The sequence below is a fragment of the Homo sapiens genome, chromosome 7 (assembly GCF_000001405.40).
Source record: "Homo sapiens chromosome 7, GRCh38.p14 Primary Assembly".
Taxonomy (NCBI): Eukaryota; Metazoa; Chordata; class Mammalia; order Primates; family Hominidae; genus Homo; species Homo sapiens.
In genome coordinates, this window is record NC_000007.14 from 22668084 (window position 1) to 22682925 (window position 14842).

General features: G+C 40.6%; 4 annotated features.

The window, feature by feature from the left end:
- Positions 731-1359: an enhancer, noted in NCBI's record as "NANOG-H3K27ac-H3K4me1 hESC enhancer chr7:22708433-22709061 (GRCh37/hg19 assembly coordinates)". NCBI's record gives its function as "activates a minimal SCP1, AML or CMV promoter by ChIP-STARR-seq in naive H9 embryonic stem cells {active_cell/tissue: H9 hESC(naive)}" and the evidence as "EXISTENCE:reporter gene assay evidence [ECO:0000049][PMID:30033119]".
- Positions 9647-9941: a silencer, noted in NCBI's record as "tiled region #4516; HepG2 Repressive non-DNase unmatched - State 22:ReprW". NCBI's record gives its function as "represses a minimal TATA promoter and a strong SV40 promoter by Sharpr-MPRA in HepG2 cells {active_cell/tissue: HepG2}" and the evidence as "EXISTENCE:reporter gene assay evidence [ECO:0000049][PMID:27701403]".
- Positions 12481-12878: a transcriptional cis regulatory region, noted in NCBI's record as "candidate enhancer chr7.1154 targeted for multiplex CRISPR interference". NCBI's record gives its function as "positively regulates IL6 and STEAP1B gene expression with high confidence in K562 cells {active_cell/tissue: K562}" and the evidence as "EXISTENCE:mutant phenotype evidence [ECO:0000015][PMID:30612741]".
- Positions 13779-14391: a transcriptional cis regulatory region, noted in NCBI's record as "candidate enhancer chr7.1155 targeted for multiplex CRISPR interference". NCBI's record gives its function as "positively regulates IL6 gene expression with high confidence in K562 cells {active_cell/tissue: K562}" and the evidence as "EXISTENCE:mutant phenotype evidence [ECO:0000015][PMID:30612741]".

Sequence of the window (14842 nt, forward strand, 5' to 3'; positions counted from 1 at the left end):
CTTGCTTAGTGAAGAGACAAAGGAAAAATGCATGTCTGAATGGATTAGCTTGATCACTCATTCAACAAATATTTACTGAGTGTGTCTATTATTTACCATGGCTTACAGTTCTCTAAGGAGGTGATCCACCTGTTAAGTGGAGGTGGAGGGGGTAGGGGAGGCTTCCCTGAGGAAGTGAGACCTGAAGGAAGAAGAGGAATAGTCAAGAAAGCCAGTCCACAGCCCTGCAGTGGGAAAGAAGGAAGTAATGAATGCATGGATGGATGGATGGATGGATGGATGGATGGATGGATGGATGGATGAAAAAATGAATGATTGAATAAACGAAAGGACAGACCAATGAATAAGCGGTCCGGCCTCCCCCTTGGTTACTGGCACGCTACCCTCATTGGATTTCTTTCTCAATTAGCACATCCTATTGCCAGGCACATGTGATGACATTCAATCCTATAAAGCAGTTATGAGTCCTGGACACCTACCACTGTGATGAGAAGAGACTCCTGCAGCACTTACACAAACATTTCCAGGGTTCCTACTGGTTGGAAAGCACTCATTATCCAAATGAAGGGCGGAGAAATCTCAGACTTTTTCTACTTCAGAGGAGCCATTCCTTTCAGCTTTTCACATTCACCCCCATTTTTTCTAGTTAATAGCTTCCATTTCAGCCCTCTCCATTGTCAACATCATTGAAACATCTCATATGGGCTACAGAATTTTCATTTTTTGGGTTTGGTTTTGCGTTCTGGGTGTGTGTATGTGTGGTGGTTTTCGGTTTTTTGTGTGTTTTTTTGCAATAAAATCCAGTAAATACCATATAGACTTCAACTGTGTCTTTCTTTCATGGTAAAAAAATACTCAAGGGAGATAAGTTCACTACGTAGAAAGAAGAAAAACTTTTGCTATTCCTGAGAAGGGGAGAAGGAGGGAAAAACAAAAACCCCTGTAAATGTCACTAGTGACTAACTCCATCTATTTTTGGAAGGCCCTAGGGGGTTTTAGGGCTTTCCATGCAATAGATTAAATAGTAACATTCCTCTGAAAAGGAATGTGCAGCCTTGCTCCCTGGAGTGCTCACCTGCAACAGCTGTCATTAAGGGCCCAAAAGGCGAGTGGAGTTGATGGGGCCCACAGCGCACAAAGCTTCCATCTTCACCTCCACCAGCTCTCAGGGACCATAGAACATTGGCGTCTTTTAAGCCCATGAGTCAAGTGTGTCCCTTGTCTGCTAGGTTTCCCCAGGCCACTGTGGACATGTGACTGTGCCTTTTTAGCACCTGCTTCTTCTGTCATGAACTCCATGCATACCTGACTTAAGACAGCAGACCTCTCAGGTCAGATGCCCAGGTTCATTCCCATGAGCTTGCCCTGAGCCCTATCAAATCAATGTGTCTCCAAAGAAATATACCGCTGTCAAAATTTAGAAAGCTCGTTATTGTTAAAAAAAAAAAAAAATCACATTTGTATTATGCTGGTATTTGTTGGAGGAGGAGTGGACAAAACAGCAAAGAAATATGACCTGGCTGTGGTGTTTAAGTACTACCATGTTTAAAAGGACTTATACTTGGAACTTTGTTTTTTCCCATACCAGGTTGAAGGTGTTAGGTTAAAAATAAGTTTTTACAACGGTGGTTCATTATATGAATCTCTCTACTTTTGTGTAACTTCATGCTGGAAATTTTCCACGATAAATGGTTACAAAAAGAAAGATAAGTAACACAGCATTTCACATGCCACAGGATCCTTGCTGCTTTACTTCCCTTCTTCGGCTCCACTAAGACTCCTCAACTAGCAACCTCTGAAAGATGAGCTTCCAGCTGTGTTATGCCTTAACACCTGGAATCCCGGATGTTGCCACCGGAATCCCAACTCATTTCATTTCAGTTGCTTAGAAGCAGGGCTCAATTTTTTACATCTTAACATTTTACCAATACTTCCATAAAGGAACTCTGTCCTCACCATGATAGAAATTAAAGGTTCTATTAAAGTTTTTGTCTAAGAAGAAAATTACATATTAACAGGCATTCTGGTGTTATTTTTACCCTTTATTTAAAAGGTTAAGGTTCTAAGGACATTAAAAAATTGCAATAGTATTATTGGGAGTAAATTTCATTCCCATGTTTAGGAAACATGAATTAGCAAATGATGATGTCATAGTTGAATTTTGCAATACAATTAAGGATTTTATAACTACCTTAAGTCTAAACCACAATACATATAAGGCATGGAAAATAAATTCTATAAATGTCATTGTCACAAATAAAAAATCCATTGAACATTTACAAAGTTAATAATAATTCATAATGTGCTTATGAATAATCATGAAGGTGAAGTATATTAGCTTAAGAACTTCTTAAGAATTGTTATAAAAATTCCACATTCCATCTACACCACTTCTGGTTAGCAGGGGTATTCTACTCCTAATTAAAAACGCTTCTCTTAGCAGATGTTTTCTAATACACCCAAGGCCAGAACAAGTTGGCTTCCCCTTCCCTCCTGCCCTGTAGATGGAGACTGGCAAACACATGGATAGGACAGACAGCTGAGGACTGAATGCCAACCTTAACCAGAGCACTATCCCACCCCATTCCACAGCTTGGCCCTGACATCAAACCAGCTTCCTGGGCTCCAGATTAGAACAGCAAGCAAATTCCTCATGTTCCATTAAAGTGTCCTTAGATAATTCAAAAGAAAACCTTACAATCTGCTTGAAAATATGGGTCATTTTGAACTAATAGGATGACAGCCAGTCTGAATTCATGAAAACCCACTTTATACTTTTTTTTTTTTCCATAAGAAGTGCTGCTACACCCCTGGGCCCATCTGCAGACGAGCTGCCCTGCCCAAGCCTTTGGGGAAGCAGCCCCCTTTATACTTTAAGTAATTTATAGAAGTTTTTAAAAATATTTTTATTACTTTCAAAATCATGATGTAATTTAGGATAAGCTGGCAAAGTACTGTTTTATGGGTATTTCTTGCTTAGTGGCTAGGTACGAAAGACTTCCAAGGCAACCATTCATTAAGTTCTAAATTTTCTAAATACAACTTGGAAATCATTCATTCTTTGAGTTTTGTTTGTTTTTAAGCTTTTAATAAAATTATATTCCCACTCAAACGTAATAACAATGGTTCTCACCAGTTAGAATTGAGATTTACCACTGGCCACACTATCTTAATTAGGCTATGACCTCTTGTTGGAGCAGGAGTTGCAGGCAAGCCTTCAAAAAGGCCATGCTGCACCACCTGGGCTTTCTCAAGAAACTCTGCTCGGGAGGAGAGGACCTGGCAATCTGGATATGCAAATGCAGAGCAAAGCGTGACTCAAGGGCATCAGTGCAGCTTCCCAGAGGTGCCCAAGCAGAGCAGGGGTGCCATGTTGAGGATGAGTGCATGCTGTTATTTCAGCATACAAGTCAGTTCGGGTCGCATCACATCCATGTCCCTCTCTCACCCTCACACACACAGCAAGTGCACTTGCTCCATGTATCAGCCTTCTTTCTCTTGCCCACAGCTGTCCTGCAGAAGTTGATATATTGACCCACATTCCAGAATCCTGAGGAAGCCTAGCCCAACTTCTTGAAAGCCAGCACCAAAATACTCTTATTTGTATATTAAATGAGAGAATCAAAATTCCAGTATGCTTTGTCTGATGAAAAAGATGCAGGGAAGTGAAGCTCCATGTAAACAATTACCCAAGTTCAGAAAGGCATGATTTGGCCAAGCAGATATGAATCATTATAAAAGCAAGACTTCTAGTTTTACTTGAAGAGTTAAAGATGTGTGTTTATTTCCTCCAAACCTACTTAAAGGACATTACAAAAACAAATTTTAAGAAAAAATAACACTAAGCAGCCAAGGCAGTCTGCCTGTAGGACTCCAGCCACCAGAGTGGGCAGAGTGCAATACCAGCAAAAAACAGGATTAGGGGATAGGGTCAAACTGGAATGAGGAAACATGTCCACACACATCCACACCAATATTGCCCATGTTGTCAACCTTTTGGAGGCTCAGCTTCAGAATGCTTGGAAGGCAAGTTTCTGTCCTTTAGGCAAGAGATTAGACAACTCCCCTCAGGGGAAACTAAATATCAAAGGGAAACCTGCCTTTGCACATTTAAAGTTCTTCCAATGGAAAAAAATGGGAGACCTGCCAGATCACCCTTCAGAGAAGCCCAGCAGCTAATGAAATCCCCCTAAATAAGGCTTCCAATCAACATTTTAGTGCCTCTCCCTTAAAAATAAGTGACCAGTGCTGGGTGGGGTGGCACAAGCTGGTAATCCCAGCTACTAGGGAGGCTGAGGTGGGAACATTCCTTGAGCCCAGGAGTTTGAGTCCAGCCTGGGCAACAAAGTGAGACTCCCATCTGTAAAAAATAACTAAAAAACAAAAATAAATAAGTGGCCAAGATATTTGTGAAAAGCAACTCTCTTGAAGGAAACTAACAGAAATAAGAAATTCAGAAGAAATAAACAAGGAGATAAAAAAATGTTTTCAGGTAATATTAATGTCCTCAGAGAGATAGAAGATATATTCATGAAACAAGACATCATTTTTAAAAAGAGAGCTCTTGGGAATTCTAAATGTGATAGCAGAGATTAAAAGCTCAATGAAAGGGTTAAATAATAAACTTGAGGAAATCTCACAGGAAGTATAAGATAGAGACAAAGAGATTGAAAAGGGAAAGAAGATTTTTTTAAAAACAGGATCCATCCAGGAAGGCCAATACCCAGAAGGAGAGAATAAAGAAAACAGAATGAGAGAAAGAGAGAGAAATATAATCCTGATACACAATGCAGCTCAAATGTAGTTAGGGCTGACATAATTTAGCACATCATAGAATGTCGAGGTCTCAGCCAACAGTGGCAAAACCAGAAAACCAACAAAATTTACAATGCAGAGTCCTCAACAGGCTCAGGAACTGGCAGTTTCAGATAGTGCTTCTGAAACTGAAGGTTACGGTGAAAGAAACCAATCTAGGATGGGCTGGGTAAAAGCTGTGTGAGAAGCAATCAGAGCCTTCATTCCCCTCTCTGCTCCACATCACTGAGTATGTCCTCTTCCCCTCCCCCATACAAGATGGCAGGTTTATTCTTTGAAGGAATCCTTCCTGACCGGAGGTCAATTGGCACAGCGGTTGATTTGAGAACAGTAACACAAACCATAAAATGGTGAGACCCGCAGCCCTTCTTCCCCAGCTCTGTTTCCCCAATTGGCCATCAGAACAGTGACAGCATACTTGTAACCTTGGCAGGAGATTAGAAAGGTTTCTTTCTGAGGAATCTGACCAGTCCATGAAAAAAGGTCAGAAAATACTGAAGCAAAAAAGTTTCCTAAAACAAACAGTGCTTCCAGCTCACCCTACAGTGAAGCTCAAAGTCAACAAGCCTTGCCTGCAAGTTGAGAGCATCCAATCCACTTTTTAGTCCTCTAATCCTGAACAAACATCCAAGGGTGCCAGATGTCTAAGGAAAGCCCAGGGCAAGAAAACTGGAGAACAAAACAAATAGATAAAAGCAATTCGGAGGAAATAAAATACACAGTGACTAAAACTTTAAAAGTATCATGAATACCCTCAGGGAAATAAGAGACAATGACATACCTTTGAAACAAGAGTAGGAAACTATAAAAAGGAACCTAGGACCAGAAAATAGAATTGAGGCATTCTAGAAAGGTGAGTAAAATGACAGAGGGGAAAACAAAAACAAGAAAATGAAGATATTAGAGAACCAATCCAGGGGTCTGAATATCTGATTAACAAGAGTTTCCAAACAAGGGAGAAGAAAGCCAACGAGAGGAAATCGTCAGTAAAATTATTCAAGCAAATTTCTCAGAAGTGAAAGACTTAAGTTTCCAGATTTCCTGAAGGGGCCACTGAGGGCCCAGAATAATCCAGGCAGATTATTGTGAAATTTCACAACACTGGGGACTAAGGGAAGATCCTTTTTAACCTGATTACTGGAGGATGTTCTCCCCCAAAATAAGAGAGTAAACCAAAAAAGAAGAGATGAGGAATCCAACTTGGGAGAAAAATCTAGAGAATTCCAAGGTCCACAGTGAAGGAAAGACTCAAGATAGATGACAGCTCTGCAACAGCCTGGAGAGCATTCAACTCAGAAGAGGAAAGGGATCGGGGGTGGGGTGGGGAGTGGGCTATCCTAAGAGAAAAAAAGAAAGTGATAAACCATCCAATGTTGGTGTCTATTAGAAGGTGCGTCTGCTAGAAGAGGTACAAAGAAAATTAGGCAAATAGGAAAAAAGGCAACAATTTCAGGAAAAACTAGAAAAGGCAACCATAGTTCACAGTGCTCAACTGGAAATTGTATTTGCATAAAAAGTTAGGTAAATACAGAAGTTTAATCAAAAATTGTATTATCTTGGGAGGGTGGGGCATGGGAACAATAAGGAAGGATAGTATAAGAGTTGGATGTTCATCTATCATAACAGATGATTATGTCTAAAAGTCACCATTGCAAACAGTATATCTAGGCATATCATTTAGAAGTACTGAGATGTATATGCAAGAAGAAATGGCTAAAAGAATCAAAAGTAGTTGCCTCTAGGAAGAAGCAACGAAAGAGTGTGAAGAGTGATACAGGGAACCATTGTAATTTCTTTAATACTATTTAACAATACTTTTATTTTTATTTATTTATTTATTATTTTTATAGAAACAGGGTCTTGCCATCTTGCCCAGGCTGGTCTCAAACTCCTGGGCTCAAACAAGTCTCCTGCCTCAGCCTCCCGAAGTGTTGGGGTTACAGGCATGAGCCACTATGCCTGGCTTAACTTTTTCAAAAACTAAAATTAAAAAAAAAAAATTCTTTTAGAGACAAAGTCTCACTGTGTTGCCCAGGCTGAAGTACAGTGGAGTGATCACAGCTCACTGCAGCCTTGAACTCCTCGGCTCAAGCAATCCTTTTGCCTCAGCCTCCCAAGTAGCTAGGACTGCAGGCATGAGCCACCAAGCCCAGCTAATATATTTTTTATTTTTAGGGATGAGATCTCACTATGTTGCCCAGGTTGGTCACAAACTCCTGGCCTCAAGCAATCCTCCCACCTTAGCCTCCAGAGTCACTGGAATAACAGACATGAAGCACCATGCCTTTTTAAATGATGTGCATGTATACCTTTGATTAAAATGTTTTTTTTTTTTCAAAAAGAGACAATAAAACAAATATAAAGGATGTTAGTTCTTAACTAACTCAACTTATCAACTCCTCCAGATAAGGGGTCTTATTCCCCTTCTTCTCAGCATCTGGCACAGAGAGGCACTCAACAAATGTTTGCTGTTTAATTGATTGCTTTATTGATTAATTGAAACAAGCAGTCAAAAATATTCATAGGTTTCTTGAGCTACACTGATAGAAAATTCTAGGAAAAAAATTAATAGCTAACACTCTTTAAACATCTACTATTTGACATCCTCTGTTCTAAGTGCTGGGCATTTATCATATTGCTAAATCCTCAAAACAATCTCACGAGGAAGATACTGACATTGTTCCTGTTTTATCAACAAAGAAACTGAAGGACAATGAGGTTGTATAACTCATTCCAAGTCACACAGCCAGGAAGTATCAAAGCTGGGTCTAGGCCAGGTGCGGTGGCTCATGCTTGTAATCCCAGCACTTTGGGAGGCCGAGGTGGGTGGATTGCCTGAGCTCAGGAGTTTGAGACCAGCCTGGGCAATATGGTGATGCCTCATCTCTACTAAATTAGCCGGGCGTGGTGGTAGGTGCCTGTAATCCCAGCTACTCAGGAGGCTGAGGCAGGAGAATTGCTTGAACCCAGGAGGTGGAGGTTGCAGTGAGCCGAGAACACGCCACTAACACTCCAGCCTGGGCAACAGAGCGAGACTCTGTCTCACCAAAAAAACCAAAAACAAACAAAAAACAGCTAGGCCTAAACCCAGGCTGGCTGACTCTGAAGTCTCTACTCTTGACTGATGAGCTTTATAATCAAGAAGGAGGTGTCCTGTGGTCACGCCACAACTGGAATATTATGTTCTGTTTTGAACACACACACACACACACACACACACACACACTTCAGAAGTGGAATGTAATCACAGGAAGTTGAACAGGATGTGAGGAGATCAAAAACCATAACAGTGGGTGTGAGGAATGGTTTTTAGATGAAAACAGTCTAATCATGCTTGAAGAGGGCTGATAAAGAACAGGGATTGGATTTGTTTTTTATGACCCAAGTAGTAAAACCAGAATCAACAGTAGAGATTAGTTGGGGCTATATTTCAGTTTAAGGAAGAAATTTTCCACAGTTCCATAGGACATCAAGTGCTTTGGAAATAGTTTCATTACTGAAAATCATAAGCCCATCAACCTCCAGGCTCGGAAGAAACTAAGGAATTTCATCCAGTCACCCTCAGGATGCTTGGATCACCTTTATAGCACACTCCTAAAAGGTCTTCTCAAACATCCCAGGGACAAAGAATACACCAGAGATGGCACACTCTTTTCTTTTTTAATCAGAGTTACCTGTGCACATAGTTGAGTCAAATCTGTAAGATTCATTAAGAAAAGCAGAAGTCCTTCCCTAGAGGCACCCACTTTCAATTTTCTTTGGTAATTCTTTTAGAAAGATTTACCTCTGTATTTCTAAATAACATGCTTGTATTGCTATTTCTTTATTTTTCCGTGTTAGGTATTCTCCACTAACCACCCACAATGTTGGATGAAGATTTCATTATTTCATTCCGCATACACAATACACACACCCTCTCCATGTTCTTATTATTCCAACATAGTTTATGTACTGATTTGGGTTAGATCAGTATTTAGTGTTCACATTATTATAACTACATAAACACTATTCAGAGCTGAGTCATGGGGTAAATCATAATTATTTCTCCTCTTCTATACAACTCTTGTGTTTCCCTGAAATTAATTGAAGAACCTTACTTTTTGTTTTCACTTAGTTTTTCATGTATTTATCAGTAATTCAAACCCTCAATTTTCTGCCAAATGTCTGAATTTCCTCTCAAGACATTCAGACACATCGGATATTCAAGCCATTTCACCTCTTTGAAGAAGCCTCTCTCAGAGCCTCTGGGCCTATCCTAATGTGAACTGATTACCTCCAAGCCTGGTGCAGAGTTACCATCTGGGAATTTTCCTTTACCATTTCTGGAGATTCCCTTTACCCTTCTCCCACTTTGTGTATCTCCAGTCTTTTTCTCCTTTGGTTTTCTCCATTGTTTTAGTGGTGCCAGAGTGGCTTCCTGAGAAAGGCTGTGTGGGAGGTAAACTTTTTGAATCTTTTCAAGGCTAGATATGTCTTTATTCTACCATAACTTGATTCAAAATTGTATTCCAGCTTCTCTTGTTGCTACTGAGAAGTCTAGAGTCATTCTGGTAGCTGGTTCTTTGTATATGACCTGTCTTGTCTTCCTTGAAGCTTTTTTTTTTTTTTTTTTTTTTGAGACCAGGTTTCACTCTTGTTGCCCAGGCTGGAGTGTAATGGTGCGATCTCAGCTCACTGCAACATCTGCCTCCCAGGTTCAAGTGATTCTCCTGTCTCAGTCTCCCTAGTAGCTGGGATTACAGGCGCCCACGACCACGCCCGGCTAATTTTTGTATTTTTAGTAGGGACGGGGTTTCATCATATTGGTCAGGCTGGTCTCAAACTCCTGACCTTGGGTGATCCGCCCACCTCAGCCTCCCAAAGTGGTGGGACTACAAGCATGAGCCACCGCGCCTGGCCTCCTTGAAGATTTTAATATCTTCCTGAGTGTCCTGAAATTTCACAATGCTATGTTGGGTGTGGGTCTATTTTCTTGCATTGTGGTCGGCATTCAGCACCACATTCAGTTTCCAATTTCAGTCAGGAAACTCATGTCTTCTAGTTCTGGGAAATGTGCTTGAATTACTTTGTTGATGATTTCCTCCTTTCAGTTTTCTCTGTTTCCTCTTTTGAATACTCGTATTCAAATACTGTACTTCCTGTACTGATCCTCTAATTATTTTATCTTACTTATTTTCCCCTGTTTTCTGTCTCTTTTCTTTCTCTTCTAATTTCTGAGATGTTTCCTCAACATTACCTTCCAGCCATTCTATGGAAATATTCATTTTTGATGTCATTATTAATTTCCAAGAGCTTATTTTTGTTTTGTTAATTATGTTTTCTAGCATCCAATTTTCATTTTGCAGTTAAAATATTTTATTTTCTATCTATAAAAATATTAATAATTTTTTTCCTTGAAGGTTTCTTCTGCTTGCATAATCCTTTTTCCCCGCTCTGAGTTAGCTTTCTCCCATTGTTTATTTGAATGTTTTGGTCTTTATCTTTCATTTGAGGCTATTCTCAGTGGTCTGCTATTCCTTGATTGTCTACTCTTTAATAGAGGGATTAAAAAGCTGATTGGAAGCTCTGATCTTTGAATATGGCTGTCCAATTTTGGCTCCACGGAAGGTTAATCTAGCTGAGCTGTTTGCTGGGGGAACCTCCAACCTCAGAAACATCAAGTATTTCTTCTTGGGCTGGTCAGATATGGAAGGGTATGCTCTTCTGTTCTTCTGTTTGGAAACTGGAGTCCTGCATGACAGAGTCTAAGAGCTCAGGGTGTTTTGGAACAATACCTCGGCCACTGCCTTCACCTATGCTTGAATCCACAGTTCAAAGACTATGTTTTATCATTTCTAGAGAAAAAAACCTCCAGGCTTCTGCTAAGGTTAAAGTGAGGATGGAGCAATGTTCTAGCATCGCTGAATTGTTGGAAGGAGAGGCCCAGCACTCCAACTACTTCTCAACTTCTCTTTACTCTGTATCCATAGATACGTAGCTGGTGCCACCAATTCCAAAGTTTTTGAAAGATTCAAAGTTAAAATCAAGGATTTCACAACGTTTCCCACTACCAGCTTAACATTCACCTTGCCCAGATGTGTTAAGTTGGTTACCATTTGTCCATCACTTGCTACCTTCGAAATATTTTTGCTTGAGCTCCTGTCTCATTCTCCTATCCTTGTGGGTCTGTGCCACTTAAAAACAGTCTTTATTTTAGTTTGAGTGGTTTGGGGAGAGAGAAAGAACTAGAAAGGTATGTTCAATCTGCCACCTTTACTCCAAATCTCCCCCATTCCACTTGTGGGCAGCTATAAAAGAAAATTTCTTCATATTGGTGTAACGTCTTTGTGGGAAAACTGATCATGCTATCAAAATTTTAAATGCAAATAACTTTTAGTCCAGTAATTTTACTGCTAAAAATTATTCTGAAGATATATTCATAAAAGTGGATGAAGAAATATTCACTAAACATAAATACATAATATATAAATACATAATAAATGAAGTACATCAATACTTGAAGAAACAAACAGGAAATAGTCTGTGTCTATCAGTAGGAACGTGAATAAATAAATCACAGTACAGTTGTCCCTTGGTATCTGTGGGAGCTTGATTCCTGGACCCTGTCGGATGCCAAAATCCATGGATGCTCAAGCTCCTTATATAAAATTGTATAGAATTTGCATACAGCCTATACATATCCTCCCATATACTTTAAATCATCTCTATATTACTTATAATAGCTAATACTATGTAAATGCTATGTAAATAGTCATTATACTATATTTTTAGGGAATAATAACAAGATTAAAAGGTCTGTATATGTTCAGTACAGGTGAAACCATTGCTTTTTTTCCAAATTATTTTCAATCTGCAGTTGATTGAAGGCTCATAAAGTCTAAGTAAGTTGTCCAAAATTATTCTGTGATCAAAGGCAAGTCATTTGACCCGTCTAGTCCTCAGTTACTATTTTTTTTTTTTAGATGGAGTTTCACTCTGTTGCCCAGGCTGGAGTGCAATGGCACAATCTCAGCTCACTGCAACCTCTGCCTCCTGAGTTGAAGTGATTCTCATGCCTCAGCCTCCCAAGTAACTGGGATTACATCGTGGCGCACACCACGATGTCTGGCTAATTTTTTGTATTTTTAGTACAGACGGCGTTTTCCCATGTTGGCCAGACTAGTCTCAAACTACTGACCTCAAGTGATCTGCCTGCCTCGGCCTCCCAAAGTGCTGAGATTACAGGCGTGAGCCACTGCGCCTGGCCCTCAATTACTTCTTTTATAAGGACCTAATAATGCCATCAGGAAATTTGCAAACTTTGTGTTTTATATAGCTGAGCACATGTATGTTTGAAGATGTGTGTGCACTTACACATTAATCTGCCTCTACCCCAGAAGAGAATAATGAAAACCTTACAGATGATATCAAATGACCTCTCCCAATATGGTCTCAAAAACTGTGACCTACATTTCTTCTCAGTTGAAATACCATGAGCTTGTGAATGATCGTGTGTGTGTGACTGTGTGTGTGTGTGTGTGTGTGTGTGTGTGTGTGTGTACACATATTCAGCTTCCCCTAACTTAATTTCTGTCTCAGTGGTGCTGGGAGAAGAAATCAGTTATTTGACAATTACGATAGGTCAGCCCTTAAGATAAGATAGATGAATGAGATGTGATCCTCAAGGGTGGAATATCTGAGCACACTTGAAGGGAACTCAGCCCAAGCAACGTGGATTATGCCTGTCAGTGAGCCCTGAATTATCTCACCATCGCACTGCTTATCTCACTCCTCTCCTGACAACTTGTCACTGCGTGGGCAAATCTGCCATAAGCACCTTCCTAGCAACATTCTACTCATGCACAGGAGTCTTCCAAAAACACACCCAAATTCCTGGAAAAACCATCCCCACCCTATTAACAGTCTTCCTCACTAACACCCTGGCCCCAGTACCTGAAGCCCCAGCCCCGCCAGTTGTCATAGCTCCACCAATTAATCAGAAAGAGAAGGTAGTTTCCTGGAATCATACCCTACCACACATTCAATGGAGCCAAGTATTCCCAAAGAGTAGCTGTTTACTGCTGGTCTCTTACCTTGCTGGCTTTCATCATTCTTTCCACAGATAAGTCTAAAGAGGGTAAAAACGGTGTCCTACTTTTGGGAAGTACCCAGCCCAATGCTACATTCTTTCTATTTATTCATTCTTCCATTGAACAAATGGATACTGAGCATCTCTCTGTTCAAAGCTAAATGAGAGACTCTGACCTCTGGGAACTTATAGCTGAGAAAGAGACAGTGAACGCAGGCAATTACAGTACAGGAAGACACTTGCTCCGTGGAGCTGCTTTTAAACTCACTCATGTTGTTTGCAGAATTCATTACCTTGTGTCTGTAGGACTGAGGAGCCTATGCTTAAGGGAGAGGGAGGCAGGGAAGACTCACAAAGGAGGTAGCATTGAGGCTGTACCACTCTTCCCAGGTAGATAGGAAGAGGGCACTTCAGGAAAAGTAAACAGTAGCACAAGGGCATAGCATACAACGTATTAGTATCAGACATACGAATGTCTGATAGTTCAGCATTACTAACACTCAAAGTTTCAAGACACAGTGGCCAGGTGGTAAGTCTGATCAAGTAGGCAGAGGCCAGATTATGAAAGGATTGCATGCCAGATTAACAGCTTGAAATGGGGAACCACTGAAGCAATTTGAGGTTTTTGTTTTGTTTTGTTCAATTAATTTCTTCTTAATTGACAAAAATTGTATATATTTATTATGTATAACATGATGCTTTGAAATATGTATACAATGTGGAATGGCTAAATTGAGCTAATTAACATATGCATTAACTCACATATTTTTGTGGGGAGAACATTTAAAATCGACTCTCTTAGAGATTTTTAAGAACCTATGTTAATGACTATAGCCACCATGTTGTACAAGAGATTTCTTGAACTTATTCCTCGTAACTGAAATTTTGTAGCCTTTGACCAACGTCTTCCCTACCCCTCAACCCCACTGAAGTATTATGACTCAGAGACTGATATGAACAGATCTTGTGTCAGAAAGATCTCCCTTCTTACCCCCACCCCCACTGCCAGCAATGGGAGCAGAATAGATGGAGGGGAATAAACAGAAAGGATTTAAGGCAAGATCTGGCAGGTTATGAGGGTGTAAACTAGGGCAGTGACCATGCAAGTGGCGGGAAAGGAACAGATCAAGGAGAATTAGGCAGAACTCACTGGCAAGGCTGAGGAGAGACATTGCCTCATCCATACATAGACTACAGAGGGTGAGCAGAGTCTGAGTCCAGTTTGGGACCTGTTGACTTGGAGATGCCTAGAGGACATGCAAGTGGGGAGATCAAGGAAGGGTGGACTAGGGTCAAGGTCTCAGTCCAAGGTTGGGTTGAGATAAACATATTCGGAAGTCACACCCATGGAGAATACAAAGTAATGGCTGAAACCACAGGAGATGATGATGCAATTCCCCAGGGAGAGTGAGGGGAGGGAGAAGAGAGGACCCAGGATGGATTTCTGGGAACACAAAAGCAAGTCATCTGGAAACTACAAACAGTTTGAAACAAACAACAAATGTGGTTGGCTCCACCTTTGGATCCTGACATTGTTTCTTCTCTTTCATACAACGTAGGTATGAACAAACTAGACCAATAATACCTTGTACATTATTGTACTGGAAGGCTTAAAGGAGTATGCAAAGTAAAAACTTACAGCAAACTATGCTTCCTTCTGTGCTCAAATCAAGGTAGAGCATGCTTGCCCTACAGCCATGTGGTGGTGTTTTCACAGTGGCTGTTTGCATAGTTGTCTTTGCTTGGGCCCAGCTACATTACTCTGTGAGTAAGGGAAGAGTCAGAGAAAGACACAGAAGGACTATTTCCCTTTTCTGGAGCTGCATGGCAGGGAGGTGGGGGTGGGGGTGGGTGCAAGGGGAGGCAAGAAGGATATAAGCATCAAGACATTGAGCTAAATGGCACAAGATATCAAGAGGGATAGAGGTGAGGCTCTAGGGACTCACAACTCGGAGAAAA